Consider the following 26,771-nt stretch of genomic DNA (forward strand, 5'->3'; position numbering starts at 1 on the left):
GGGAGTCGAGCCAGCGTCGCCGCAGTGATGTCGTTGGAGAGCAAGCAATTCCTGACGGAGCTGACCAGACTCTACCAGAAGTGCCGGACGTTGGGCAGCGTCTATATCACCTTGAAGAAGTATGATGGTCGAACCAAACCCATTCCAAAGAAAGGTTCTGTGGAGGGCTTTGAGCCCTCAGACAACAAGTGTCTGTTAAGAGCTATCGATGGGAAAAAGAAGATGAGCACTGTGGTGAACTCCAAGGAAGTGAGTAAGTTTCAGATGGCTTATTCAAACCTACTGAGAGCTAACATGGACGGGCTGAGAAGAGGGACAAAAAGAGCAAAAGGAAAAAGACCAAAGCAGCAGCACAGTAAAGGGCACAAATTCCCTGCTTTCACCAATTAACCACTGAATTGCTATTTTTTCCTTTGGTTTTTACTTTTGGCCACATAGCTAGGTTTCTGGTTCCCCCACAGTAGGTGTTTTCACATAAGATTAGGGTCCTCTTGGAAAGAATAGTTGCCATGTTTACAGGGTAGTTGTGGTAAGAATCTAGTTTATTTTACATGTGACTAATTGGTCTGTGCTGCATGGTTATATACTCCTGGATTATAGATTAGAAGTCTCCGAAGTCACCTCTGTGAAAAGCAAGCTATCATTAAACATGTCTGTTTATCAATCAATCAATAAATAAAATATTGTTTATTTGGGGATACATGCTGAAAATCATTTTATTGATGGGGTACAAAATAAAAAAAAAAAGCAGAGACTACTGAATTAGAAATATACATTTTTTCAGGCACAGATGGAACATTTACAACCACATACTAGGCCATAGAGCAAATCTCAAACAAATGCCAGAGGATTCATATGTATTCATTTTCTACAGCTGCTACAACAAATTACCACAAACTTAGTGGTTGAAAACAACCCAAATGTATTATGTTACAGCTCTACAGGTCAGAAGTCTAAAACAGGCCTCACCAGGCTACAATCAGTGATGGCAGGTACAGCTGCCCCTGGAGGCTGAAGGGTCAAATCCATCTCCTTGCCCCTTCCAGCTTCTAGAAGCCGCCCACATACTGAGGCTCATGGCCTTCTTCTTCCAACTTCAAAGTCAGCAACATCTTGATCCTTCTCATGCAGCTGCCTCTCTGGCGCTGTCTCCTCTGCCTCTTTGCCACTTACAAGGATGCTTGTGATTACACTGGGTCTACCTGGATAATGCAGAATAATCACCCATTGCAAGGCCAACCTTGATTCCATCTGCAGCCTTAACTCCCCTTTGCCATATTAACATGCAGTTCAGGGGCGCAGATGTCCTCGGGGGACCAACGTGCTGCCTGCCATGCTACACAGACAGAGTGCTCGGGCCACAATAAATTTAAAATTAAAATAATAAACAACAAAAAGTTAAGCCCCACAGATCTGGAAAATTTGTAATGCATTTATAAATGAAATATAGGTAAAAATAAATAATAACGGGAAAAGCAAATCAACAATAATGAAAAAAACAATATAGCAAAGCTGATGAGATGTAGCTAAAGTAGATCTTCAAGGGAAGTTTATAGCCTTAAATGCATATATTAGAAAATAAGAAATTTCTAAATTAATTAAGCATCCAATACATTAGAAAAAGAATGGCAAAGTATGCCGGGTGCAGTGGCTCACATCTGTAATCCCAGCACTTTGAGAGGCCAAGGTAGGTGGATCACTTGAGCTCAAGAGTTCGAGACAAGCCTGACCAACATGGTGAAACCACGTCTCTACTAACAATACAAAAATTAGCCAGGTGTGGTGGCGCACACCTGTAATCCCAGCTACTAAGGAGGCTGAGGCAGGAGAATCACTTGACCTCAGGAGGAGGAGGTTGCAGTGAGCCAAGATCATGCCACTGCACTCCAGCCTGGGCAACAGAGCAAGACAGCCTAAAAAAAATAATAATAATAACAGTGAAACAGCTACACACAAGCAAATCAAGTTCTACCAGGCTTTCAAGGAACAGATTATCCCTATTGTATATAATCTGTATATAAAAAAATAAAAAATAGCACTTAAAAAACAAGTGGTCAAAGCAAGGAAAATAGAATCGTGTCACAGAAACCAAGGGAAGTAATAATTCTCATGTAGGTGGAGAGCTGCCAGATCCCACATATCTCTGTTAAACTTTGCTTCCTGGATGAGGCACTCCCTACCCCTTAAATCCCCCTATTAGGGGTATAGACACCTATATTGCACCCCAACTCTCTCCTTCATAGCAATAATGACCATTACTAACTAATTTTAATTTTGTTTTGTTTTTTGGGTTTTGTGAGATGAGGTCTTGCTCTATCTCCCAGGCTTGAGTGCACTGGCATGATCATGGCTCACTGCAACCTCGACCCCCTGGGCTCAAGTGATCCTCCCACCTCAGCCTTCCGAGTGGCTGGGACCACAGGCACGTGCCACCACACCCAGTTAATTTATTTTTATTATGTGTAGAGACGGGGTGTCACTCTGTTGCCCAGGCTGGTCTTAAACTCCTAGGCTCAAGCAATCCTTCCGCCTCGGCCTCCCAACGTGACTGGGATTCCAGGTGTGAGCCGCCTCACCTGGCCAATTTTACATTTGTCTTTGAGATTATATGATCGATGTCTGACTCTCACACTGGTGTGTCAACTCCGTCAGGGCAGAAACCACATATTTGTCTGTTTGTTTTTCATCTTTGTGCCCCATTACTTGGCTGGTTCCTAACACAAAATGAATGTGCAAAAAACGCTTGTCAAATGAATGAGGAGGTCTAAGGGGCCTTGAGCCCTCTGACGTTTCCATTTTATAATTGTGGACAGAGCCGCTACAGCACAAAGCTGAGCTGGACCATCCAATGTTTAGCCAGTGCCTTACGTGCTAGGAGACACTGGGAGCTGTGCTGGGCTTCTGAGGAGTGGGCAGAGGCTGGAAATACCCATAGTTGGTCAGTCTCCTGTGTCACCCAGACTGGGGAGGTGCAGAAATGAAAATTACAGAGCTGCGAGGACCCAGAACCTCATTAATGAGCTTAACTCACTGTCCTGACCAGGTGGCCTCTCAAAGCCTTGCTGGGAAGGAGGCTTTAAGGTGGTGGGGGCAGCAGTGCTGGTGGTGGTCATCGAAGAAAGTGGGAGTCGGGGAGGAAGCAATGGGGAGCAGGGGACAAAGAGGGCCAGACAAACTCAGAGCTTCAGGTGATGAGACTCAGGAAGCCTAAGTCAGGAACAGTGATTGCGGACATCTTTGTCCCATAACAGAACTTCCTCCTAAGGAAAGGTCTTGCAGAGACTGGTCCTGCTGAGCGCTTTAACAGGTTATTGATTCATAAAAATTGGAGAAAAAAGACAAAGTCTGCCACACCTAACAGCCTTCTGTTTAGAGCTGGTTTAGAGGAAACTTTAAGCAAGTCTTGTGTCCAACAATTTGGGCCTGAGGCAGGGTACAGGTAAGGGAACAGACAGGAGACACGGAGGCAAGAACAAGACTTTAGCTGAAAGAGAAATCAGAGCCAGAGGCAGCCACAAGAACACCCAACCTACTGGAACTCATGCAGGTGGACAGCCTGCCCAGGACTTGCCCTGAGTGGGAAGCAAAGAGCATCTTATCTAGATTTTAAGGAGCAGGGTGCCCCTGGCTGACATCTAGGCTACAGTCACTGGGCCAGGTGGAGGGTTGGTCAGGCCCTCTCAAAAGTCATGAGAGGCCAGGCACAGTGGCTCACGCTTGTAATCCCAACACTTTGGGAGGCCGAGGAGGGCAGATCACTTGAGGCCAGGAGTTTGAGACCAGCCTGGCCAACATAGTGAAACCCCGTCTCTACTAAAAATACAAAAAATTAGCCGGGTATGGTGGCCGGTGCCTATAATCCCAGCTACTTGGGAGGCTGATGTATAAGAATCGCTTGAACCTGGGAGGCAAAGGTTGCAGTGAGCTGAGATCATGCCACTGCACTCCAGCCTGGGCAACAGTGAGAGACCCTTTCTCAAAAAAAAAAAAAAAAAAAAGAACCAAAAAAAGTCATGAGAGTCCTCAGAGTTCTCAAGAAGGGCTGCTGTGGGCCTGTTTCTGGAAAGGAAAGAAAAGCAGGGAGCTGTTGAGAAAATACCATATGTTTTTATGCCCCAGCCAGGCATGGGGGAGAGGCTGACCCCAAAAGAGAAAGTGGTTGTGTGAGATTTCAAGGAAGATGTCAGCGGGCTGCATCCCAGGGCCTCTAGACAAAAGGAAGGGCCCAGCCAGGCATGGTGGCTCGTGCCTGTAATCCCAGCACTTTGGGAGGCCGAGGCAGGCAGATCACCTGAGGCTAGGTGTTCTGGTCCAGCCTGGCCAACATGACAAAACCCCATCTCTACTAAAAATACAAAAAATAAGCTGGGCGCGGTGGCTCTCCCCTGTAATCCCAGCCAAGGTGGGCGGATCAACTTGAGGCCAGCCTGACCAACGTGGCAAAACTCCATCTCTACTAAAAATACAAAAATTAGCTGAGCGTGGTGGCACGCACCTGTCATCCCAGTTACTCAGGAGGCTGAGGCGTGAGAATGGCTTGAGCCTGGGAGACAGAGGTTGCAGTGAGCTGAGATTGCATCATTGCACTCTAGCCTGGGTGACAGAGTGAAATGGAGGGAGGAAAAAAAAAAAAAAGGAAGGTCCCGTCCAGGGAGCCAGCCTAGGATGGGGAAGGCTCACCAGAAGTGGATGCAAAGAGTGCTGGAGATGAGCTCATTCTATTTGCCTAGGAAAGAAAAACGTCCAGAAACCTGGCCTTCCTCCTCTTGGCCGAGGCCCTCCAGGAAAGCCAGGCAGACCCTGCTCCTGCTCTGACCCCCTGGAGAAGTGATATGTAGAAAAGAGGAGATGGGCTTTGGCCCAGAGGACAGCAGCGTTAGGCTAGTGAGCAGTTCCCAGTCGGTTCAAGGTTGCTAGGCTCAGCGAACTGCAAGTCCCTGTTCGACAAGTTTCTTCCTAAAGGTCCCCAGTTCCTCATGATTCTTCTGAGGGTCTCATCCACCCTCCCAGGGCCTGCAGTCAGCTAGCCACCCCACTGCCCCATGCCTGCAGTGAACACATTTACCACAACCTGGAAATGGCTGGTGACAGAAAAGTCCTCACGGCCACAACACTCTCTGCGGTGGGAATTCAGGTGCCTTGCCTGATGGTGACAAAGCTGGTTTTGCATAAACAGCTCTCTGAATCACACCCAAATGTGGCTTCTGACTTGAGTGGACCCCCATGAAGAGCTGCAGAGGGGGCTGGGAAAAGACAAGAGAATGGAGAAAATGAGGAGAAAGGAAACTACAGAGTGAGATAGAGAACAGATCTGACAGGTGTGACCACAGCAGTGTGACATTTATGAACAGTGTGGAAACAACGGCAAAGCCCCTAAATTAAAAACTTCCTGGGGAAATAAGCCACTCCACATATCGGTTGCTGAGGAAAGAGTGGAGGAGGCTGTTGACCCGTGTGTGTCCCCATGACTCAAAGAGGGAAAAGTCTAGCTGTTTCCAATATCCCGAAATCAGTCTTGCTGGGAGAACTGGGAAAATAAAAAAGAGATGACCCCCGTAGGAAGCTACCTTTAATCCCAAGTGCCCAAGGCTAGGAGAGAAGATGCTCCAGGCGATCCAGGACACCAGTGACTGACACAGCCAGAGGTGGGAAAGGGGAGGATAAAGATGGCACAAAAGTGAGGAGTGAGCAAGGGTCTGAGAGGGAAGGCCATGTGGGCAGTAGGTGGCACCCACATCAGAGACTGACATGAGGATTAAAGGAGAGCATAGGTGATCGGTCAGAGTGTGACAGAAGAGAGGCAGCTCTACACCCCTTGCTTGCAATTCTGAGCATTCTGTAGCAAACTCGTTTGGCCATCAAACCAGACCTCAATTGAGACAAGGCTATTTAAGCTTCCTCCCAGTTGGTGTAAATATTCAATAGTTTTGCTGCAGAAATGTTGCGTTTGATTATGAGACTACCCCAACTCCCCAAGGGTGTTTTGTGGTGCTGGTTTCTGTATAAACCTGAAAAATTCTGAATTCCAAAACTTATCTGACCCCCAAAGTTTCAGATAAGAGCTTGTGGACCTGTGCTCAATTCTGGTTCTCCTTCCTTCTTTCAACTGTTGTCTGTGAAAGGAGGGATGCAGGTATGGGAGACAGGAGTCCTGCGAATTCGTCTGTAAACTGTGGACGGGGGGGTGGGTGGGGGGGGGTAACGTGGGCACCTTTGTGCACAAGTGCATGAATAGGAGGGGTGAGCAACTGTGTGTCCATCACCTTTTTGTCAAAGAAGCAGGAGTCAGTGGGCTACGTGCTTCATGAGCAGGAGAGGCGGAAACTAAGGAAGGCTCATGTGTTGGAGGAAGCATGTTTGAAGAGCAGCAGGTCTCACAGAGTTTGCTCTTTAATACTCTCCCCAGCACACGGAAGGGGAAGGGGGTGGAGGTTGCTGCTATGAGAGAGAAAAAAAAAACAGCCACAATAGAGATTCTGCCTTCAAAGGTTGGCTTGCCACCTGAAGCAGCCACTGCCCAGGGGGTGCAAAGAAGAGACAGCAGCGCCCAGCTTGGAGGTGCTAACTCCAGAGGCCAGCATCAGCAACTGGGCACAGAAAGGAGCCGCCTGGGCAGGGACCATGGCACGGCCACATCCCTGGTGGCTGTGCGTTCTGGGGACCCTGGTGGGGCTCTCAGCTACTCCAGCCCCCAAGAGCTGCCCAGAGAGGCACTACTGGGCTCAGGGAAAGCTGTGCTGCCAGATGTGTGAGCCAGGTAAGAGGGGGCCTTGGTAAGGGCCAGGTGAGTGGCGAAAGAGAGAGGACTGGGGTTAATACAGTAAATAGGCGCAGGGTGAGACTGAGCTCAAGCAAGGAGGGAAATCCTGCAGCTGTGGGGAGGCACCACCTTGAAGAGGGCAGAGAACCAGCCCTTCTCAGGCCTTGATCCCTTACCCTCTCCTCCCAGGAACATTCCTCGTGAAGGACTGTGACCAGCATAGAAAGGCTGCTCAGTGTGATCCTTGCATACCGGGGGTCTCCTTCTCTCCTGACCACCACACCCGGCCCCACTGTGAGAGCTGTCGGCACTGTAACTCTGGTGAGGTGGGCAAGGGTGTGTAGGTGGGGACGATGGACAAGCATCTGGGGGAGCAAGGCTGGTGACGGGTTTGGGGGTGCAAGGAGGATGACGGGGCCAAAGCTTTGGCCTTCTTCAAGGCTCACAGCAAGTGGAGCCAATGCTGGGAAATGCGGCACCCTAGGTGGGGCATGAATTAACGTGGGCAGACATCTAGTATTCCAGGAAAGGGATAAATAGAATTTGAGGGATTGGTGAGAACGGGTCTATGGATAGGATCAAGACAATAAAATGAGAGAAGTGGCTCTATGACCCCAGATTTCGGGCAAGCAACCCCCAACCAATAAACTGACTGTGTTCCCAGAGTGCACATGTGCAGGTTGGCCATTGGGAATTTGGAATACATCTTTCTAAGGAAATAACAAAGCAACCCAATAGGTAACAACCTTTTTTTGCACAAAAGCCAATTTGAGAAAATGAGTATGTATGTAGCCTGTGTTTTTATTTTATAGTTCCAAAAAAAAAGGTTTTTTTTAAACTAAGAAGTATAATATCTGCAGTTGTGCTTATGAATGCTGTTATTATTTCTCCATCTTCGCTACAATTTCAGAAACTACGGCCAGTATACACTAGAATAGCAGGCTTTAAAGTGGCCCCTTTGAACAAATGTTCTCTAGCAAGACACTTTTTAGAACCAGGTAACTGTAACTATTAAACTACCTACTTGCAAAACGTGTTTGGTGTCACTGGGTCTCTTGGTACTGGGTTTTGTTTTGTTTAGTTTAGAGACAAGGTCTAGCTCTGTCACCCAGGCTGGAGTGCAGTGGTGCAATCATAGCTCCCCACAGCCTTGAACTCCTGGGCTCAAGCAATCTTCTAGTCTCAGCCTCTGAAAGTGCCAGGATTACAGGTGTGAGCTGTAGTGCCTGGTCCCGTAAAAACAAAAACAAAAACCAACACCAGATGTGGTGGCTCATGCCTATAATCCCAGCACTTGGGAGGCCAAGGCAGAAGGGTATTTGCATATTTTGTAGAGACTTGAGCCCAGGAGCTTGAGACCAGCTGGGCAACATAGTGAGACCTTGTCTCTAAAAAAATTGGCTGGTCATGGTAGTGCACCTGCAGTCCCAGCTACTTGGGAGGCTGAGATGGGAAGATCACTTGAGCCCAAGAGGTCCCCAAGAGGTCCAGGCTGCTCACATCACTGCACTCCAGCCTGGGTAACAGAGCAAAACCCTTTTTCACACACACACACACACACACACAAAAAGCCAGAGCAGTGGCTCACACTTGTAATCCCAGCACTTTAGGAGGCCAAGGCAGGCGGATCCCTTGAGCCCAGGAGTTTAAGAACACCCTGGGCAACATGGCAAAACCCTGTCTCTACTAAAAATACAAAAAGTTAGCCAGGCGTGGTGGCACGAACCTGTAGTCCCAGCTACTCAGAAGGCTGAAGTGAGAAGATCACTTGAGTCCAGGAAGTGGAGGCTGCAGTGAGCCGTGACTGTACCACTGCACTCCAGCTTGGGAGACAGAGTGAGCAGAGTGAGACCCTGTTTCCAAAAAAAAAAAGAAAACAAAAGCTTTTCCATTGCAAATCAACCAAAAAGGAACGTCTTTAATACACAAGAAATATTCTTCAGTCTACTTAACTTAAAAATGTAACTGTAATAGATGCTTTTCTCTTGACAGCGGCCCCGGCAGGGTTGGAACTTTTCCTAGTCAAAACCCCCCTACTCACTCTGCAGACCCTTCCTGAAGGTCTTCGCCCCATACTGAGCCCATCTTCAGTCCCTTCACTTGTTCCAAACTAGCCCAATCCATGACCCTTCTCTGGGAGCTCAGCCAATAGATCCCAAAGTACCACAGCAGCACCTGGCTGCAGAAGGACCCCCGGGAAATGCAGTCAGGGGTGAGAAGATGGGTGGGCTGAATGAGCTCGGCCCTCTCTGGGCCTTAGTGCTGGCATCTATGAGATGAGGACATGCCTGAAGTCAGCCTGGAATTTTGAGCCCAGGTTATACCTGGTAAATAGAACTCCCAGGTCTCCGGATACTCACCACTAAAACAATAGCACCTCATTGTTTTTGTTTTGTTTTGTTTTGTTTTTTAATTATACTTTAAGTTCTAGGGTACATGTACACAATGTGCAGGTTTGTTACATAGGTATACATGTGCCATGTTGGTGTGCTGCACCCATTAACTCATCATTTACATTAGGTATATCTCCTAATGCTATCCCTCCTCCCTCCCCACACCCCACGACAGGCCCCAGTGTGTGATGTTCCCCTTCCTGTGTCCAAGTGTTCTCATTGTTCAATTCCCACCTACGAGTGAGAACACATTGTTTTTAACCCTCCCCAGCAGCTTCTTTAACCCCTCCATTTCCCTTTTGGCGGAGACCCTTGTCATCACTCCTCTCTACCACCAGTGCTCTCCCCTCCTGCACTGTCCCAGGCTTCCTCATTCTTCCCTTGCAGGTCCTTATCCAACATGGCTCACAATTCCTGGGAAGCCACAAGGAAACCAAATTCTAGTAGCAACTCAGAGTCAGCATTCATTAGCAGGTCACAGGGCCATAAGGATGCCAAGAAGGAATTTGTCCCTCTCCTTGTCCTGACAAAAGGCATAAGTAGAAGAAAATTGTTAGGTTTGGTTATGACCTTTGACATTCTCTCTTTGACATCCTCCCTTTCTGCACCCCTCTTCCACCTGTCAGGGCACCTAGGGCTCCCCGGGTCCCCACAAGTGTCTGCCCTAAGGCCCACCAGGCTTTCTTGCAGCCTGTCCCACATCTGGGTGTCACTGCCTTCCTCTGAATCACCCTCCTCTCAAACCAGCCGCCAGCGAGCCCAGCCCAGCCCAGCTAGTGCCCTACCACACCCGCCCCCAGGATAATTAACACCCAGCCACCCAGCATCGGACCTCTACACTTGAGCAAAATGTATATTTTAAAGGCAAATTCTCACGCCTGTAATCCCAGCACTTTGGGAGGCCAAGGCGGGCGGATCACGAGGTCAGGAGATTGAGACCATCCTGGCTAACACGGTGAAACCCCGTCTCTACTAAAAATACAAAAAATTAGCCAGGTGTGGTGGCACACACCTGTAATCCCAGCTACTAGGGAGGCTGAGGCAGGAGAATCACTTGAACTCAGGAGGCGGAGGTTGCACTGAGCCGAGATCGTGCCACTGCACTCCAACCTGGGCGACAAAGCAAGACTCTGTCAAAAAACAAACAAACAAAATAAAGGCTAAGTAACTGTAATCAAGTAACTATTTATTATTTATTTATTTTAGTGTATCCACAGGTTGTGCAGCCATCAACACTATCTAATTCTATAACATTTTCGTTACCCCAGAGAAACTTGTACCCCTTAGCAATGACTCCCCATTTCTTCCCCCCAACCAACCCCAGCCCCAGCCCCAGCCCCTGGGAATCCCTAATATACTTTGTTTTGTTTTTTGTTGGTGGTGTTTGAGACAGGATCTCACTCTGTCACCCAGGCTGGAGCGCAGTATCATGATCTCAGCTCACTGTAACCTCCACCTCCCGGGCTCAAGCGATCCTCCCACCTCAGCCTCCCCAGTAGCTTGGGCCTACAGGTGTGCACCACCACACCCAGCTAATTTTTGTATTTTTTGTAGAGACGGGGTTTCACCATGTTGGCCAGGCTGGTCTCAAACTCCTGAGCTCAAGCAATCCACCCACCTCAACCTCCCAAAGTGCTGGGATTACAGGCGTAAGCCACTGCACCTGGCTATTTTCTTTCTTTCTTTTCTTTTTTTTTTTTTTTTGAGACGGAGTTTCACTCTGTTGCCCAGGCTGGAGTGCAGTGGCGTGATCTCGGCTCACTGCAACTTCCACCTCCCGGGTTCAAGCAATTCCCTGCCTCACCCGGCTATTTTATATTTGTTGATCTGCTGCTGGTTATGCCTGTGAGCCAAATTTGTACAAATTCTTAAGCTTTACAATCATGCGTGCCTCTCTGTACGTATATTATACTTTAATTAAAAGTTATTAAAGTATTGGGGCCGAGCACAGTGGCTCACGCCTGTAATCCCAACACTTTGGGAGGCTGAGGCTGGTGCATCACCTGAGGTCAGGAGTTTAATACCAGCCTGGCCAATACAGTAAAACCCCGTCTCTACTAAAAATACAAAAAATTAGCCGGGTGTGGTGGCACACACCTGTAATCCCAGCTACTTGGGAGGCTGAGGCAGGAGAATTGCTTGAACCCGGGAGGCAGAGGTTGCAACGAGCCAAGGTCACGCCATTGCACTCCAGCCTCGGCAACAAGAGCGAGACTCCATCTCAAAAAAATAAATAAAAAATAAAAAATGTATCAGGGAGTACAAGAGAAAGTCATATAAGCTCTTTCTACTTTTCATGGTTTCTATGTCTGAACCCATGAATCTTCCTTCTGAAAGGTCCAACTTTCTTCTTTAATAACAATAATAATGGCAAAGGCATTGGGGGACCGTGAGCAAAGGGCAGGCCTTTGCAGGGGTGGGAATGGAAAGGGAAGCACGTCCCTAGAGGTGGGCCTGGGATGGGGGTTGGGGGATGAAGCAAGTGGACCTTGAAGGTCTCCACAGGTCTGAGTGTCCTATGCTCCCTGGGCCTCTCTTCCCCCAGGTCTTCTCGTTCGCAACTGCACCATCACTGCCAATGCTGAGTGTGCCTGTCGCAATGGCTGGCAGTGCAGGGACAAGGAGTGCACCGAGTGTGATCCTCTTCCAAACCCTTCGCTGACCGCTCGGTCGTCTCAGGCCCTGAGCCCACACCCTCAGCCCACCCACTTACCTTATGTCAGTGGTAAGTTCCAGGCAACTCTCTGTGCCATCACGTGGGGTAGCGGTGATACCCCAACCAGTACTCCCCACTCCTACCCCTAGATAAGGTCAGCCTGTTTCTGCCTTCCCATCCCATCCAGCACCTCTCAGGCCTTCAGATGTGCCCTATGGGGTCCCCTGCTGCTACTCATTCTGTCTCTGTTTTTCCAGAGATGCTGGAGGCCAGGACAGCTGGGCACATGCAGACTCTGGCTGACTTCAGGCAGCTGCCTGCCCGGACTCTCTCTACCCACTGGCCACGTGAGTTTTCTCCTTAATCCCCACCGCTAGAGAGAATGCATACACGAGGGGCCAGGAGGGAAGCCAGACAGAAAGCTCCTAGGATTAGGGATAAGAGGAGGGGAAAAAGCAGAGTCCACTGTTTAGGAGAGGAGTTGGCCAACGGTGGCGGGTGGGATAGAATAAGGTGGGGGAAAGGGGAGAGGCAAGGTGACAGGAGGGCTGGGCTGAGGGAGCCAAGGGCTAGACCCTCCCCTAACCCCTGTGTGTCCCCTCCTATTACAGCCCAAAGATCCCTGTGCAGCTCCGATTTTATTCGCATCCTTGTGATCTTCTCTGGAATGTTCCTTGTTTTCACCCTGGCCGGGGCCCTGTTCCTCCATCAACGAAGGAAATATAGATCAAGTAAGAGACAGAACACAGGCCTCCGGTCCTGCCCCTGCACCACACCCCACTGGCTCAACCCCACTGCCCACGCCTGGAATCTCACTGAAACCCACCAGCTCCACTTCACCAGCCTTGGTCCTACCCCTTCTCTCCCCTTAGCTGGCGTGCTCCTGACACCCCTCCCCCAAGCGCACCCGCCTCTACCCATCTCCTTCTCCCGTCTCCCCCTGCCCCCACTGCTGGCCAAGACTCATCGGATCTCCTTCTGCAGACAAAGGAGAAAGTCCTGTGGAGCCTGCAGAGCCTTGTCATTACAGCTGCCCCAGGGAGGAGGAGGGCAGCACCATCCCCATCCAGGAGGATTACCGAAAACCGGAGCCTGCCTGCTCCCCCTGAGCCAGCACCTGCGGGAGCTGCACTACAGCCCTGGCCTCCACCCCCACCCCGCCGACCATCCAAGGGAGAGTGAGACCTGGCAGCCACAACTGCAGTCCCATCCTCTTGTCAGGGCCCTTTCCTGTGTACACGTGACAGAGTGCCTTTTCGAGACTGGCAGGGACGAGGACAAATATGGATGAGGTGGAGAGTGGGAAGCAGGAGCCCAGCCAGCTGCGCCTGCGCTGCAGGAGGGCGGGGGCTCTGGTTGTAAAACACACTTCCTGCTGCGAAAGACCCACATGCTACAAGACGGGCAAAATAAAGTGACAGATGACCACCCTGCAGCTCTCCAGCTTCCTCTCTGAAATCCCAGTCCCAAAATCCAGTTTCCTGGCCGCCTCCTGGCTCAGGTCAGGATCTGGCAGAGGAGGTTTCTCAGCCGGTTATGTTGGGGCCTGCTTAAGGGCGGGGGTGAGAAAGGTCCCCAGGCTACTGTGGATCCTGTGTCTGACTTCAGATCCCCTTTTCCCACAGTTATAGCTCCACTTTTTTGGGACAGGTGGGGAGCAAAAGGGTGCAGAGGTCAGGTCTTGAAATCACCAGGGGATTTCCGGGTGAGGTGGGTGGTGAGAAAGGAAACAGCAAGCAGGGCTCTGGCAGCTGCTGCAGACGGCTTCACACAGGGACGCGGGCTGCCATCTTGCTCTAAGTGAAAGTGAAAGAAAAGTCGGCAGCAGAGGGAACAGGGAAGAAACCTAAAGGCTGCAGGCTGCCAGGTGTGCTTGGAGAGCCCCCTTCTTCCGCCGGGCCTCGCAAGCAGCGTAGGACTGTGGAGAAGGGCGGTGGGCAAGGAGGGAACTCGAGAGCAGCCTCCATGGGCACACAGGAGGGCTGGTGCCTGCTGCTCTGCCTGGCTCTATCTGGAGCAGCAGAAACCAGTGAGTCTGGGAGTCGGGGAGAGCTGGCTGGGAGAAGAGCTACTGAAGCCCCAGGGTGCCACCCTCCCCGAGATTCCAGAAGAGCAAAGGGGCCGGGGATGACCCCATCGCCTTCTAAGCCCAACAGGGGAAAGGCTCAGCGGCTGGCAAAGGAAGGAACCAATAGTGTGTGTGGAGGGAGGGTGGGGACTCCACAGGGAAAATGCTAAAGAGGGGCTGCCTCTGTGGCTGTGGTCAGGAGCCACTGTCCTACAGAGAGGGCACTGGCCTGGGAGCTGACACTTCAGAAGAGGAAAGGACTCCCCAGGTGAGGAAATCACTTGGAAGGTGACCTTGAAGGCGGGGGAGGGGAAGGCTACCCGAAATGGGAGAAAGCAGTGCAGGCTGTCAGTGCCCCAGCAACAGTAACTGTCCAGTCTCCTCTCTCTGCGGTGGCACTTGCTTGTTTTCTGAGAATTCCTTTGACTGAAAAGATAGTCTTTTATTCAACAGTTGGAAATGCAAGCATAAACTCCTCTGAGCAAGGCAAATCCAGGACTTTAACTCTCACCAAGAAGTATTTGCCTGGACTAGCAGGTGCTCTCCAGAAAGCTGGTTTGGGGATGACGGGAGAATAGAGGGACACAGAAACAGCTAGGATCTTGGATGGCAACTTTTACCCTTTGATGACTCCACAGCTTGAGGGCGGGGGCAGGAAGCAAGTGTGGAGTAGCTTTCTGGGGAAGGCGGTGCTCACCCCAGCCTTTGTCTGCAGAGCCCCACCCAGCAGAGGGGCAGTGGCGGGCAGTGGACGTGGTCCTAGACTGCTTCCTGGCGAAGGACGGTGCGCACCGTGGAGCTCTCGCCAGCAGTGAGGACAGGGCAAGGGCCTCCCTTGTGCTGAAGCAGGTGCCAGTGCTGGACGATGGCTCCCTGGAGGACTTCACCGATTTCCAAGGGGGCACACTGGCCCAAGATGACCCACCTATTATCTTTGAGGCCTCAGGTAAAAGCCTTCCACCTGTGTCCTTGGTCCTCCCGGGCTCCCTCCACCAGGACAGCCCAGGTCCCGATTACAGCCACACATACTGCCTCCCGTTGGCCCTGGTGTTCTCACGCTAATTTGCCCTCTGTGTGTGCCCTGCTTCTCCCCAGTGGACCTGGTCCAGATTCCCCAGGCCGAGGCCTTGCTCCATGCTGACTGCAGTGGGAAGGAGGTGACCTGTGAGATCTCCCGCTACTTTCTCCAGATGACAGAGACCACTGTTAAGACAGCAGCTTGGTTCATGGCCAACATGCAGGTCTCTGGAGGGGGACCTAGCATCTCCTTGGTGATGAAGACTCCCAGGGTCACCAAGAATGAGGCGCTCTGGCACCCGACGCTGAACTTGCCACTGAGCCCCCAGGGGACTGTGCGAACTGCAGGTAAGAAAATGAAAAGCAAGGCCAGGTGTGGTGGCTCACGCCTGTAATTCCAGAATTTTGGGATACCGAGGTCGGTGGATCACCTGAGGTCAGGAGTTTGAGATCAGCCTGGTCAACACGGTGAAACCCCGTCTCTACTAATACCAAAATTAGCCGGGCATGGTGGCGGGTGCCTGTAATCCCAGCTACGAGGGAGGCTGAGGCAGGAGAATCGCTTGAACCCGGAAGGCAGAGGTTGCGGTGAGCCGAGATCACACCATGGCACTTCAGCCTGGGCAACAAGAGCGAAACTCCATCTCAAAAAAAAAAAAGAAAAGAAAAGAAAAGCAAGTCACAGAAAGTTTTGCTTTTCTAAAGTGGTAAGATATGGGGCACAGAAGAAGAAAGGGAACAAATCCACCTCCATCCACACTGGTCACCTCAGGGCACCCCTAGGCCTTGGTCCTTTCTTCCTAAAAACCCCTGAGTCAGGCCAGGTGCGAAGGCCCATGCCTGTAATCCCAGCACTTTGGGAGGCCAAGGCAGGTGGATCACCTGAGGTCAGGAGTTCAAGACCAGCCTGGCCAACATGGTGAAACCCCCTCTCTACTAAAATACAGAAATTAGCCGGGCATGATGGCAGGTGCCTGTAATCCCAGCTACTCAGGAGACTGAGACGGGAGAATCACTTGAACCTGAGAGACGGTGGTTGCAGTGAGCCGAGATTGCGCCACTGCACTCCAGCCTGGGCAGCTGAGTGAGACACCGTCTCAAAAACAACAACAACAACAAAAACCCTGAGTCCACAAGAGAATGCTTCGCAGCCCCTACCTGAACGTCCCCAGGCACACAGACAACCTGTGTTATTTCCAAAATGGAGATCGTTCTCATCTCACTGGGCTGCCATGAGGAAATAAGACACATGATGCTATTCTGTACATGGGTGCTGTCCACTGTAGTCTTATCGAGCCAAAACCCGGTTTTCTCCCAGTGAAATGCTAGGCTGCTCTGGTGCTTCAGGGGTAAAGCTCAGGGATGCATCATTTGTTCATGATCTTATTAGTAAACCCAGTACTTGCCCTCTCCAGCTCAGCACATCCTCGAGGGCACAAGAAATTGAGAACATGATGACAGGGTTCCCCAGAGCCCATTAATCCAATACTCTGTGCCCTGCTTCTTTGAGTCTCCAAGAAGAAACAGCCAAGTCCAGAGAAAATTAGGGGCAACCGTCCTATCCTTGGAAAACCCCAGAACACTCTAACCTCTCTGTGGTCCAACCTAAATCTATCCTGACCCATTAGAAAAAGGTCTTCATGTCTGTCCAGTGTCTACCATACTCCTGGCATGCGTAGGTATTTCTCTCTTTTTATTCCAAACCTACAAAAAAAGGTGAAATAATAATATAATGAACACCTATATACCCTACACCTAGATCCACCAGTTGTTAACAATTTGCCACATTCTCTCTCCCCCGACTCCTCATGTGTGTATATGTGTACGTGTGTATTTTCCTCTGAACTGAGAGTAAGTTGCAGAAGATAACACTTGAACCCCAAACGCATGTTTGAACCCCGAAACGCATGTTTAAACCCCAAATACATCCATAGCATGTATTAGTTTACAATGAAGGACAAGGATGTAATCCTTCATAGTTACAAAGCCATCATGTCAGAAACAAACCAAAGTGGGGAAGTAGTCTACCCGTAGCGCAGGCAATAAGGGAGTGCAGACTGTAAAATATTTCAGAACAAAAATAAAATCAGCTAAAAGTCAGATGGCTTTATAGTCTCACCATCTCCCGACACTGGCAATTCTGAATATTATCAGTGATAAAATACTCCTCTCTGCTAGGGCAGACTGTCCCTATCTCCCCACACGACTGCCTAGTATGCCACAGATCTTCATACTTTTAGATATTTTTTAATTGATATGATAATAGTCTCAACTATAAAGTCCAGGGCATGGTGGTGCACACCTGTAGTCCAGCTACTCAGGAGACTGAGGCAGGAGGATTGCTTGAGCCCAGGAGTTTGAGTCCTGTCTGGGCAACATAGAGAGCGAGACCCTCTTTTTTTTTTTTTTTTTTTAACAGTCTCATTCTGTCTCCCAGGCTGGAGTGCAGTGGCATGATCTTGGCTCACTGCAACCTCTGCCTCCCAGGTTCAAGTGATTCTTGTGCCTCAGTCTCCCAAGTAGCTGGGATTATAGACGCCCGCCACCACACCAGCTAATTTTTGTATTTTTAGTAGAGATGGGGTTTCACCATATTGGCCAGGCTGGTCTTGAACTCCTGACCTCAGGTGATCCACCCATCTCGGCCTCCCAAAGTGTTGGGATTACAGGCGTGAGCCACTGTGCCCAACCTAAGACCCTTCTCTTTAAAAAATAATTAAATGTCTCCAAATTCAAATTTCTCCACTTGTCCCAATATTTTTTTTTTTACTGCTTTTTCTAAGTACACAATTCAAACAAGAATCATGCAGTGCATTTAGTTGTGCTGTTCCTTGTTTTAATCTAGAACATGTTTCATAGAATTGACATTTTTGAAGGGTCCAGGCTAGTGGTCTTGTAGAGTATCCCAACATTTAGATTTGTCTGATTGTTTTCCTCATTTCCTCATGACTGGATTTAGGTTAAGCATGTTTGGCACAGATACTACTATCACATGCTTTTTTTTTTTTTTTTCGATATGGAGTTTTACTCTTATTGCCCAGGCTGGAGTGCAATGGCTCGATCTTGGCTCACCACAACCTCCGCCTCCTGGGTTCAAGTGATTCTCCACCTGAGCCTCCCAAGTAGCTGGGATTACAGGCATGCGCCACGACACCCAGCTAATTTTTGTATTTTTAGTAGAGACGGGGTTTCTCCATGTTGGTCAGGCTGGTCTCAAACTCCCAACCTCAGGTGATCCACCCGCCTGGGCTTCCCAATACCACGTGTGTTTTTTTGTTTTGTTTTGTTTTTTACATTTTTTTTGAGACGGAGTTTCACTCGTCGCCCAGACTGGAGTGCAATGGCGCGATCTTGGCTCACTGCAACCTCCACCTCCCGGATTCAAGCAATTCTCCTGTCTCAGCCTCCCAAGTAGCTGGAATTACAGGCACCTGCCACCATGCCCGGCTAATTTTTGTGTTTTTAGTAGAGACAGGGTTTTACCATGTTGGCCAGGCTGGTCTCAAACTCCTGACCTCAGGTGATCCACCCACCTCGGCCCCCCAAAGTGCTGGGATTACCGGCATGAGCCACCGCACCCAGCCACCACGTACTTTTTAAACTATTGTTTCTAGTCTTCACAGCATCCTTGCTTAAGCAGGTGAGCTTGGTAACACCAAGTGACTTGTCAAAGGTCACGGAGCCAGTAAGTGGAACAACCAGGGTTTCAGAGCTTTTTCTGCTACTCTAGTAGTTCTTACCTGAAGATTGATGGTAACTCTTAATTTTGCATGTGTATTTTTCCTGGTGGGAGATCCATAGCTTTCACTAAATTATCCTAGAGTAAGTGATCCCAAAATGGTGATGGCCATCATGTGTACCATGCTACCTTTCCAGAGCCCCATTTCTTTGTGGTTCCATGTGATGGAAAATAAGCTCAACCGGCCTGTCAGGCGAGGAAGAGGCAGGTGTATGCCCACAACATGCCCACAGCTTGGAGATCAGGTGACCTCAAGGAGGAAGTAGCCCACAAATCACCCCTCTTTTCCTCTTCACAGTGGAGTTCCAGGTGATGACACAGACCCAATCCCTGAGCTTCCTGCTGGGGTCCTCAGCCTCCTTGGACTGTGGCTTCTCCATGGCACCGGGCTTGGACCTCATCAGTGTGGAGTGGCGACTGCAGCACAAGGGCAGGGGTCAGTTGGTGTACAGCTGGACCGCAGGGCAGGGGCAGGCTGTGCGGAAGGGCGCTACCCTGGAGCCTGCACAACTGGGCATGGCCAGGGATGCCTCCCTCACCCTGCCCGGCCTCACTATACAGGACGAGGGGACCTACATTTGCCAGATCACCACCTCTCTGTACCGAGCTCAGCAGATCATCCAGCTCAACATCCAAGGTGAGGCCAGGACATGGTTATCCCAGGGAAGGGGATATAACATGTCTACTGGGAGCGTTTCCAGATTGGGACCCAAATGCAAGAATGATTTCCTGAGAAGCAGGCTTCAATCCCACAACTTAAATGCCATCTTCACCATGGAAGCACAGATGGCATCAGATAAGGAGTCCCGTTGGACTCCAGGATAATTCCACCAAGAGATTTCCAGCCCAGGATCCTGCTGCCCTGCTGTGGCTGGCTGTCTCCATCACCCCAGTCCTTTTGGACCACATCCTGAGGAGCAGCAGCAGCAAACCAAGGCAGAGCAGTGGAAGCGGTTCTGACCATTATCACTGCTATCCTTTAAAATCTCTGGCTTAGAGGCCGGGCGCGGTGGCTCACACCTATAATCCCAGCACTTTGGGAGGCGGATCACGAGGTCAGGAGTTCAAGACCAGCCTGGCCAATACGGTGAAACTCCGTCTCTACTAAAAATACAAAAAATAGCTAGGCATGGTGGTGCGCGCCTGTAGTCCCAGCTACTCAGGAGGCTGAGGCAGAAGAATCGCTTGAACCCCGGAGGTGGAGGTTGCGGTGAGCCAAGATCATGCCACTGCACTCCAGCTTGGGCGACAGAGCAAGACACCATCTTAAAAAAAAAAAAAAAACTGGCTTAGAATGACAGTAAGAAGCCAGCCAATCTTTAGTTGGCTTTACTATCTGTTTTCTGGAAAATGTAACCCTGCCCCCTTACGGCCTGCATCCAGGTGGGCCCCTCACACACCCCCGCCTTGGTACACCACCAAGGGACACTGTAGCCTCCACAATCTACTCTCATCTTGGCAGGAAGAAAAGGCTTCAGGCTCCTCCGCTGTCCCCAGTTAGATCCATGTGTAATCTTATTCCTCATTCTTTCTCCAGCTTCCCCTAAAGTACGACTGAGCTTGGCAAACGAAGCTCTGCTGCCCACCCTCATCTGCGACATTGCTGGCTATTACCCTCTGGATGTGGTGGTGACGTGGACCCGAGAGGAGCTGGGTGGATCCCCAGCCCAAGTCTCTGGTGCCTCCTTCTCCAGCCTCAGGCAAAGCGTGGCAGGCACCTACAGCATCTCCTCCTCTCTCACCGCAGAACCTGGCTCTGCAGGTGCCACTTACACCTGCCAGGTCACACACATCTCTCTGGAGGAGCCCCTTGGGGCCAGCACCCAGGTTGTCCCACCAGGTACTGGGAGTGTCCTCCTTTTCCCCACCTCCACACTAGGGCTCATGGCTCTCCTGCCCCAGCTCATCTATGGCCTTGTTCTGCTGCCCATCCACTTTGTTCGCAGCCCTGGCTTCATGCTCCTGCCTCTGCTCCTGACTATTTTCCCAAGGCGGCAGCTGCCACAGCTTCTACCACACATCCCCTGAGACTTCATTATACTCCAGCCTCCAGGGTGTCAGGCAATGTGCTTAAGGCTGGAGATCACAGATGAATAATTCCTGATCATGCCCTCCAGGAGCTTAGTCCAGTAATAGAGACAAGACTAAGTAGACAGAGAAGATGGCATTTGAGCCAAGTTAACTAGCTTAGAGGGAAGGGAACACTCAAGATAGAAACAATAGCATATATGAAAGCCAAATCATAAAACAGCCTAAAGAGAATTTGGAGAATTGCAAGTAATTCAGCACAGCTAGAGCTTAGGGTATATGGGAAAAAGGGAAAGTGGCTCTGAAGCTTCGGAGGTAATTCTATTTATTGAGCATTTACATGAATCAAGCAGTGTAGAAAGCACTTAAATGTATGATTTCATGGATCATGACTCCCATTTTACAGGTGAGTAAACTGGCACTTGCAGATGTCAATGAATTTGCCCAAGGTCACCTATCAATCAATGGTAAAGAGAGAATGTGAAAAACAGGCAACCGGATTCCCCTTACGGGCTTAATTAAACCCTGTAGATCTCACTGGGCCTTCAAGCTGGAACTTCCTGAGAGCCATAGCATGCTGTTGAAAGGTTTTATTTATTTATTTATTTATTTATTTATTTATTTATTTATTTTATTTTATTTTACTTTTTTTCGATACAGAATCTTGCTCTGTTCCCCAGGCTGGAGTGCAGTGGTATGATCTCAGCTCACTGCAACCTCCATATCCTGGGTTCAAGCCATCCTCTTGCCTCAGCCTCCCAAGTAGCTGGGATTACAGGCGCGCACCACCACGCCTGGCTAATTTTGCGTTTTTAGTAGAGATGGGGTTTCGCCATGATGGCCAGGCTGGTCTCAAACTCCTGACCTCAGGTGATCTGTCCGCCTCGGCTTCCCAAAGTGCTGGGATTACAGATATGAGCCACCGCACCCTGCCTGTCGAGAGGTTTTAAGCAGGAAAGGGACAGGAAAGAACCCGCAACTTGAAGTGGAAACATCCAGGAGCACTGGGCATTATTTGGTTGCTCATTAGACTGTGAACTTCCCCAAAACTGAGGTTTCACTTCAGCTCACATCATTCCCCAACTATTTACAAAATCCCAGTTAACTGGTGGTTTTTTGTTTTGCTTTGTTTTATTTTGTTTTGTTTTGAGATAGGGTCTCACTCTGTCGCCCAGGCTGGAGTGCAGTGGCACGATCTCAGCTCACTGCAAACTCTGCCTCCCAGGCTCAAGTGATTCTCCCACCTCAGCCTCCCAAGTACCTGGGACCACAGGCGCACACCAACATGCCCAGTTAATTTTTTGTATTTTTTGTACAGACAGGGTTTCACCATGTTGCCCAGGCTGGTCTCGAACTCCTGACCTCAGGTGATCCACCTACCTCAGCCTCCCAAAGTTCTGGGATTACAGGCATGAGCCACTGTGTCCAGGCAAGTTAAGTGCTAACAAATAAACCCACCTAAATCTCACTTGCAAAGCAATTTTTAAAACCTTGTCCTTAGGTGGGAAGAGGTAGAGAATTCTGTGTGGAGTAACTCACAAGTATCCAGCAACCTTGAATAAGAACAAATGCTGCTGAGTGCCTTGTTCCAGGCTCCTCAACCAGGGACTCACACACACAATCCTTAGCTCCTCCTCCCTGGGGTGGACACTGCAGGTGAGGGCTCAGCTCATGATTCCTGCGCACGATGATCCCCGCCCACGTTGCTCTCACCTACAGAGCGGAGAACAGCCTTGGGAGTCATCTTTGCCAGCAGTCTCTTCCTTCTTGCACTGATGTTCCTGGGGCTTCAGAGACGGCAAGGTAAGAGCCTGGGTGCCCTTGGCTCTGGCCCTGGCCCACCTCACCCACTCTAACCACCCCCCCGCCCAGACCAGGGTGGAAGCCCAGATGCCCCAAGCTCCAGCCACCCACCCATCACAGCCTCCTGCTTTTGAGTTTGCCCTAAATGAAAATGAAACCAGTCGTGTTCCCTCGTTTTCTCCTAGCTACCTCACTAAAGTCTGTCACTCTCCTGCCTCAGAGTAGAAAGAAAGAGTAGTCACGTGCTCCCAGAAGGACTCTAAGTCAAGTCACAGAGCTAAAAATACATGAAGGTGGCACCAGCTCATGGGGCACTGGGCCTGGCTCTGCAGAGGCCTCTGCCTTCCTTCACTGTGCACCCTGGGCTCATGCACCAAGGCAGAGAACAGGAAGAAGTGAGGGGACAAGAAGAAGGCAGAATGTCCAGATGGAGGATAAGACCAAAGAGCCAGGTTGGTGGTGTGACGGTAGGAAAACAAAGCTGGAGGAAATGGAGAAGGAACAAGTGAGGGACAATGAGGCATGGGTTGGGGCTGGGCTACCCCTCCCAAACTCAGCTCTGTCAAAATAAAAGGCCCTTGTGTCTGCTGCGACCAAGCTTTTCCACTTTCCTGTCTTTCTCCACACTGGTCCCAACTGAGCCCTGTCACCAAGCCTAGCGGCTCCAACTTGCAAAGTGTTTAAGTATGAAACAAAGGCCCTCAGAGGCACCCCCGTGGCTCCATCTCAGTTGCACCTCAGCTGCAATTAGGGTTCTGCTCCCTCGGGTGACTGCTGGGAGGTTCAGGATACCTGCAAATGCCTCACTCCCTCAGCTGCAAGGAGAGACTTCTCCTTTTTATTCGTTTCTAAAATGTGCCTAATCAATACGGTGGAACTCAGCATACCAAAACTGTACGTGAGGATGATGGGGAAAAGGGGGTAAGGGGGTGTTCACTGACAGCCTTATCTGGGCACATCCCCTGGGACAGGACAAGCAGGCCAAGGACCTAGGAAGGAGCACAGGAGGCAGATGGAAGAGGCCTGAGGGAACCTGTGCTTGTTTGCCAGTGTGAGATGCCCACGCAACTTCCTGTCTTCACTTCCTCTTACCAGCACCTACAGGACTTGGGCTGCTTCAGGCTGAACGCTGGGAGACCACTTCCTGTGCTGACACACAGAGCTCCCATCTCCATGAAGACCGCACAGCGCGTGTAAGCCAGCCCAGCTGACCTAAAGCGACATGAGACTACTAGAAAGAAACGACACCCTTCCCCAAGCCCCCACAGCTACTCCAACCCAAACAACAACCAAGCCAGTTTAATGGTAGGAATTTGTATTTTTTGCCTTTGTTCAGAATACATGACATTGGTAAATATGCCACATGCCTTTGGTGGAAGTACAACTGTTGTTATTACTCTATACAAGTATGAGATCAGGGTTAGGAAAAAAAGACAAAGAGGTGATGACAGACACACAGTGGAAACCCCACATCGTCTCATGGCAAACCGAAGAACGGGATGTGGGAAGCTCAGCTTCATTTGACTGCAAAGTCCCAGGGTTTTGTTGCACATTTGCTCATGCACATGGGTGGTGGGAGGAAAGGGGGATAGCAGAGACACACAGAAGAGGGTACAGGGTGGGTGAGAAAGAAAGTAGAAGGGCTAATACCCCCAAAGAACAAGGCCAACTACACCTGGTGAGCCTCAGAGGGACAGAAACCCAGGAATGATTCCTGTGATAGGGCTGGGAGAGCCAAGAGGACGGATTCGCTCCAGGCTTGGGACACATCGAGGACAGTGGTGGTTCTTCTCCAGCGGTGACCCCCTGCATTAGGCAAGGAGGAGCCCAGAGGAGAGTGGAGACCTTCGAGGGGGGCCGTTGGGAGGGTACTGACTGCTTTCTTCCAGCTCTTCAGTCCCGCCCTTGGGCAGGACGAAGGGAATGTGGGAAACAAGGGCGAAAGGAAAGGAAGGATGGTTTTGAGCAATGAAATGCTGCTGCATGGAAAGTGGGCATCCAGACCCTGCCCAGCATGGCCTCAGCCTCTTCCTGTTCGTGGACCGAGGGAAGAAGGAATAAAGGGCCATGGGCATTCTCCGCTCTGTTCCCAGCCTGCCCTCCTCCCCTTGCACCTGGGCTTATCCCACATTAATAGCCCATCCTGAAGCTCAGCAATTGCCCCGAAGATAGGCTGAGCAGATCCCATCCTCAGGTTCCACTGTCTATACACACAAACCATGCAAAGAGGAGGAAGAGAAAGGAGGCAAAGTAGAATTCAGACAGGAAAGGGTGGTTCAAAGGGGAATATACTACAGGAAGAACAGAGAGGCGGCTCTCAAGGAGAGGGCCCCATGACAGCACAGCAATACACAAGCACACCTGACACAGGCTGGCACGCCTCCCCCCAAGGTGGGGCTGGTGGGTCTACATGACTTCTCTGCATCCTGAGGATCGGCCGGGCCCCAGGAAGAACCACTTGCCTCATCCCTGTCTTTGGCAAGTGCACGGGTGGTGTGGAGGAAAGGATTCCATGGGTGTCCAAAGATCTCACACTGCTAACACCCTCACGCTCCTTCATCAACAGGAAGAGAGGAACAGGACCCTCTTTAACGAGGGCAAGGAGTGGCTTCCTCTGAGCTTGTTACTTTCAAATTAAGCACTTGACTCACTGTTTCTCTATAACTAACAGGCAATCTCTCTCTTTATGCCAACAATTAACTGGGAGCTAGGTTAAATTATTTGGCTAGATAAAACTACCAGCTAGATGGATTTATTTGGTGCCCTCATACAGAATGCTGTAGAAAATGTAAAGAAGAGAAAGCTCCTTCCAGCTAGAAGCACATGGGACTGCTTCTAGGATGGAAACAAGTCCTGCTATTTTCACAATCCCTAAGTGTTCTCCAGGCCTCTGGAGAACAAAGTAAAGTTGTAAGATCCCCAAAGACACGGAAAATCCTGGACGAACAGATTAGAAATAACTACAAAAAACAAGTTTTTACTTTCGAAAAGGGTACTGCACTGAAACCAAGTTGGACTTTGGTCCACCCCCAGGACCCTCTTCAGGCCTGGTCCAGGAAGGAAAGCTCCACATGACCAGGCAGTACTGAGTGAGCTGCCATCTTCCCAGCCCCTCCCTAGCTCCTACCAGTGGCCAGGTTTTCTAGAAGTCACCATGGGCACCGATACTCTTCTCCTCCCAAGTCTGGGCAGCTTCATGGGTACTTCGCCTCAGCCACTCCCCTCCCTGCCCCTTCCCTTGGCCTCCAACTCTTTGGGGCTTTGGGGGAACTTGAGAGTACAGAAAAAGCAGGCAGGGAGGAGGCGCCAGCTGTTGCTCTTCGGGTAATGACTTAGATTGTGCCACGAGCAGCATTTCTAGTGTTGAGGGACAGAGTGCAAATGAACGCAACGAAAAAGGAGGAATGGGTGATGGAGAAGCCTGGGCTGGAATGGAGGACGGTGGGTGGGGAAGTGTGTTGAGAGAGCAAACAGAGGGCAGAGGACATGAATGTGGATGGCAATGGACAACAGGGAAGGGGTGGTACATTCTCAAGTAAAAAAGTAGACTGGACACAGGAATCAGGAAGTCCCAGACGGAAAAGAGAAAGAGACAGGAGAAAACAAGAGGGTGAATTACACCAAGTTACCAGACATTCAGGTCTCTCCATTGTTAAGTGCCCCATCCCCATGGTCTCCCTCCAACCCAAGCCAGTGACACACAGCATAGCCCCACTTCCTCAGAACAGGAGGCGCCATCTCCCTGCAATGCGTTGCAGGGGGAAGGCTTGTCCATCAAAGAAATCCCTTGTCTCTGCCCTTCCCCCGTCCCGAACCAGGTGACGATCCCATAGCAGCGGTCTCCATACCTCAGTCAGAGCAGCCCCACTCCCCAGGCAGGCAGGCAGGCAGGGAGAAGACTCCAGGACCTTCCCACCTCTTCACCCCACCAGCAACTTCAGCGATACTTACTTACAATAACTACCACGATGATGGCACAGATGGCTCCCAGCATGATCATCATCTGAGGAAACATGGACAAAAAATGAGCCCTTGGATTTCAGGAATGAGGAAAAGAGCCACATCTCTAGTGGGAAACAGAATTCCTTCCATCCTTGGGACAATGGAAAAAACCACCCATCACCCAGGAGACCTGCAGGCCTCTTAGAGAGGCCCTACCCTTCTGCTTCCCAGGGGATCATAACCACAGTATGTCTGTAGCTTTTCAGATTCATCACAGGACCTGCATTGAGCTCCTTTTTGCTTAGTTCCTGGTGTCTTGGGGCTTTAGAAGGCATTCCAATAGAGATACAGACTCTGGATATTTA

The 26,771-nt window shown here is 50.2% G+C and overlaps 3 protein-coding genes, 1 long non-coding RNA gene and 1 pseudogene across 28 annotated transcripts in view, besides 11 other annotated features; 3 read left to right on the forward strand and 2 right to left on the reverse strand.

Annotated features, from left to right (window-relative positions):
* On the forward strand, window positions 1–663 carry SRP14P1 (SRP14 pseudogene 1; annotated as a pseudogene).
* Window positions 527–13,043, reverse strand: CD27-AS1 (CD27 antisense RNA 1). Its single transcript, NR_015382.2, has 6 exons — window positions 11,867–13,043; window positions 10,166–10,263; window positions 9,563–9,676; window positions 8,487–8,613; window positions 5,072–5,243; window positions 527–1,202 (listed from the first exon to the last, which is right to left on the reverse strand). It is a non-coding gene; the product is annotated as a CD27 antisense RNA 1 (long non-coding RNA).
* Window positions 4,263–4,402: a silencer, noted in NCBI's record as "silent region_4161". NCBI's record gives its function as "represses an Ori minimal core promoter by ATAC-STARR-seq in GM12878 lymphoblastoid cells {active_cell/tissue: GM12878}" and the evidence as "EXISTENCE:reporter gene assay evidence [ECO:0000049][PMID:35858748]".
* Window positions 4,503–4,582: a silencer, noted in NCBI's record as "silent region_4162". NCBI's record gives its function as "represses an Ori minimal core promoter by ATAC-STARR-seq in GM12878 lymphoblastoid cells {active_cell/tissue: GM12878}" and the evidence as "EXISTENCE:reporter gene assay evidence [ECO:0000049][PMID:35858748]".
* CD27 (CD27 molecule) lies at window positions 5,418–13,239 on the forward strand. 14 transcript variants are annotated; one of them, NM_001413267.1, is made up of 7 exons: window positions 5,418–5,645; window positions 6,950–7,081; window positions 7,671–7,758; window positions 11,699–11,878; window positions 12,067–12,156; window positions 12,421–12,540; window positions 12,794–13,239. In NM_001413267.1, exons 5-7 carry the CDS (start codon window positions 12,069–12,071, stop codon window positions 12,916–12,918), a joined length of 333 nt encoding a protein of 110 aa, NP_001400196.1. In that variant the 5' UTR covers window positions 5,418–5,645; window positions 6,950–7,081; window positions 7,671–7,758; window positions 11,699–11,878; window positions 12,067–12,068; the 3' UTR covers window positions 12,919–13,239. The 14 variants fall into 14 exon arrangements, 10 of the variants coding, with proteins under 10 accessions (NP_001400196.1, NP_001400195.1, NP_001400197.1 ...); NR_182127.1 differs by lacking the exon at window positions 5,418–5,645 and adding an exon at window positions 6,481–6,651 and having other exon boundaries at window positions 6,950–7,086; NM_001413263.1 differs by lacking the exon at window positions 5,418–5,645 and adding an exon at window positions 6,481–6,757 and having other exon boundaries at window positions 6,950–7,086.
* Window positions 5,573–5,642: an enhancer, noted in NCBI's record as "active region_5854". NCBI's record gives its function as "activates an Ori minimal core promoter by ATAC-STARR-seq in GM12878 lymphoblastoid cells {active_cell/tissue: GM12878}" and the evidence as "EXISTENCE:reporter gene assay evidence [ECO:0000049][PMID:35858748]".
* Window positions 5,663–5,712: an enhancer, noted in NCBI's record as "active region_5855". NCBI's record gives its function as "activates an Ori minimal core promoter by ATAC-STARR-seq in GM12878 lymphoblastoid cells {active_cell/tissue: GM12878}" and the evidence as "EXISTENCE:reporter gene assay evidence [ECO:0000049][PMID:35858748]".
* Window positions 6,617–7,118: an enhancer, noted in NCBI's record as "H3K4me1 hESC enhancer chr12:6554257-6554758 (GRCh37/hg19 assembly coordinates)". NCBI's record gives its function as "activates a minimal SCP1, AML or CMV promoter by ChIP-STARR-seq in primed H9 embryonic stem cells {active_cell/tissue: H9 hESC(primed)}" and the evidence as "EXISTENCE:reporter gene assay evidence [ECO:0000049][PMID:30033119]".
* Window positions 6,663–6,722: an enhancer, noted in NCBI's record as "active region_5856". NCBI's record gives its function as "activates an Ori minimal core promoter by ATAC-STARR-seq in GM12878 lymphoblastoid cells {active_cell/tissue: GM12878}" and the evidence as "EXISTENCE:reporter gene assay evidence [ECO:0000049][PMID:35858748]".
* Window positions 6,753–6,932: an enhancer, noted in NCBI's record as "active region_5857". NCBI's record gives its function as "activates an Ori minimal core promoter by ATAC-STARR-seq in GM12878 lymphoblastoid cells {active_cell/tissue: GM12878}" and the evidence as "EXISTENCE:reporter gene assay evidence [ECO:0000049][PMID:35858748]".
* Window positions 7,642–7,761: an enhancer, noted in NCBI's record as "active region_5858". NCBI's record gives its function as "activates an Ori minimal core promoter by ATAC-STARR-seq in GM12878 lymphoblastoid cells {active_cell/tissue: GM12878}" and the evidence as "EXISTENCE:reporter gene assay evidence [ECO:0000049][PMID:35858748]".
* Window positions 12,378–12,587: an enhancer, noted in NCBI's record as "active region_5859". NCBI's record gives its function as "activates an Ori minimal core promoter by ATAC-STARR-seq in GM12878 lymphoblastoid cells {active_cell/tissue: GM12878}" and the evidence as "EXISTENCE:reporter gene assay evidence [ECO:0000049][PMID:35858748]".
* Window positions 12,678–12,837: an enhancer, noted in NCBI's record as "active region_5860". NCBI's record gives its function as "activates an Ori minimal core promoter by ATAC-STARR-seq in GM12878 lymphoblastoid cells {active_cell/tissue: GM12878}" and the evidence as "EXISTENCE:reporter gene assay evidence [ECO:0000049][PMID:35858748]".
* Window positions 13,175–26,771, forward strand: part of TAPBPL (TAP binding protein like) — a 20,358-nt gene continuing 6,761 nt past the window's right edge. For 2 of the 8 annotated variants that reach the window (XR_001748777.3, XR_001748778.3), the window contains exons 1-7: window positions 13,568–13,838; window positions 14,593–14,823; window positions 14,973–15,242; window positions 18,932–19,270; window positions 20,171–20,473; window positions 22,381–22,464; window positions 23,560–23,769. Coding sequence is in view for 2 of the 8 variants with exons in the window: in NM_018009.5 (NP_060479.3) it covers window positions 13,775–13,838; window positions 14,593–14,823; window positions 14,973–15,242; window positions 18,932–19,270; window positions 20,171–20,473; window positions 22,381–22,464; window positions 23,560–23,675 (1,407 nt within the window). In the remaining 6 variants the exon portion in view is untranslated. Of the gene's footprint in view, window positions 13,311–13,567; window positions 13,839–14,076; window positions 14,146–14,592; window positions 14,824–14,972; window positions 15,243–18,931; window positions 19,271–20,170; window positions 20,474–22,380; window positions 22,465–22,649; window positions 22,917–23,559; window positions 23,843–26,771 lie in introns of those variants that run through there. The other 6 variants (NR_147127.2, NR_147126.2, NR_147129.2 and 3 more) reach the window with 6 other exon arrangements.
* Window positions 13,268–13,867: an enhancer, noted in NCBI's record as "active region_5861". NCBI's record gives its function as "activates an Ori minimal core promoter by ATAC-STARR-seq in GM12878 lymphoblastoid cells {active_cell/tissue: GM12878}" and the evidence as "EXISTENCE:reporter gene assay evidence [ECO:0000049][PMID:35858748]".
* The window catches only part of VAMP1 (vesicle associated membrane protein 1), an 8,441-nt gene continuing 5,432 nt past the window's right edge, over window positions 23,763–26,771 (reverse strand). For 2 of the 5 annotated variants that reach the window (NR_123717.2, NM_016830.4), the window contains 2 exons: window positions 26,416–26,467; window positions 23,763–24,368 (listed from right to left, as the gene is read on the reverse strand). Coding sequence is in view for 4 of the 5 variants with exons in the window: in NM_016830.4 (NP_058439.1) it covers window positions 24,358–24,368; window positions 26,416–26,467 (63 nt within the window). In the remaining variant the exon portion in view is untranslated. Of the gene's footprint in view, window positions 26,468–26,771 lie in introns of all 5 variants that reach the window. The other 3 variants (NM_001297438.2, NM_014231.5, NM_199245.3) reach the window with 3 other exon arrangements.

Source organism: Homo sapiens, chromosome 12 (assembly GCF_000001405.40).
Source record: "Homo sapiens chromosome 12, GRCh38.p14 Primary Assembly".
Taxonomy (NCBI): domain Eukaryota; kingdom Metazoa; phylum Chordata; class Mammalia; order Primates; family Hominidae; genus Homo; species Homo sapiens.

Bases quoted from the DNA above. Each gene is read 5' to 3' on its own strand.
- CD27 (XM_017020234.2), top strand. From the start codon at position 6,622: ATGGCACGGCCACATCCCTGGTGGCTGTGCGTTCTGGGGACCCTGGTG. The intron at 6,758-6,949 runs GTAAGAGGGGGC...CTCTCCTCCCAG, and splicing joins CTGCCAGATGTGTGAGCCAG to GAACATTCCTCGTGAAGGAC. The intron at 12,541-12,681 runs GTAAGAGACAGA...CTCTCCCCTTAG, and splicing joins ACGAAGGAAATATAGATCAA to CTGGCGTGCTCCTGACACCC.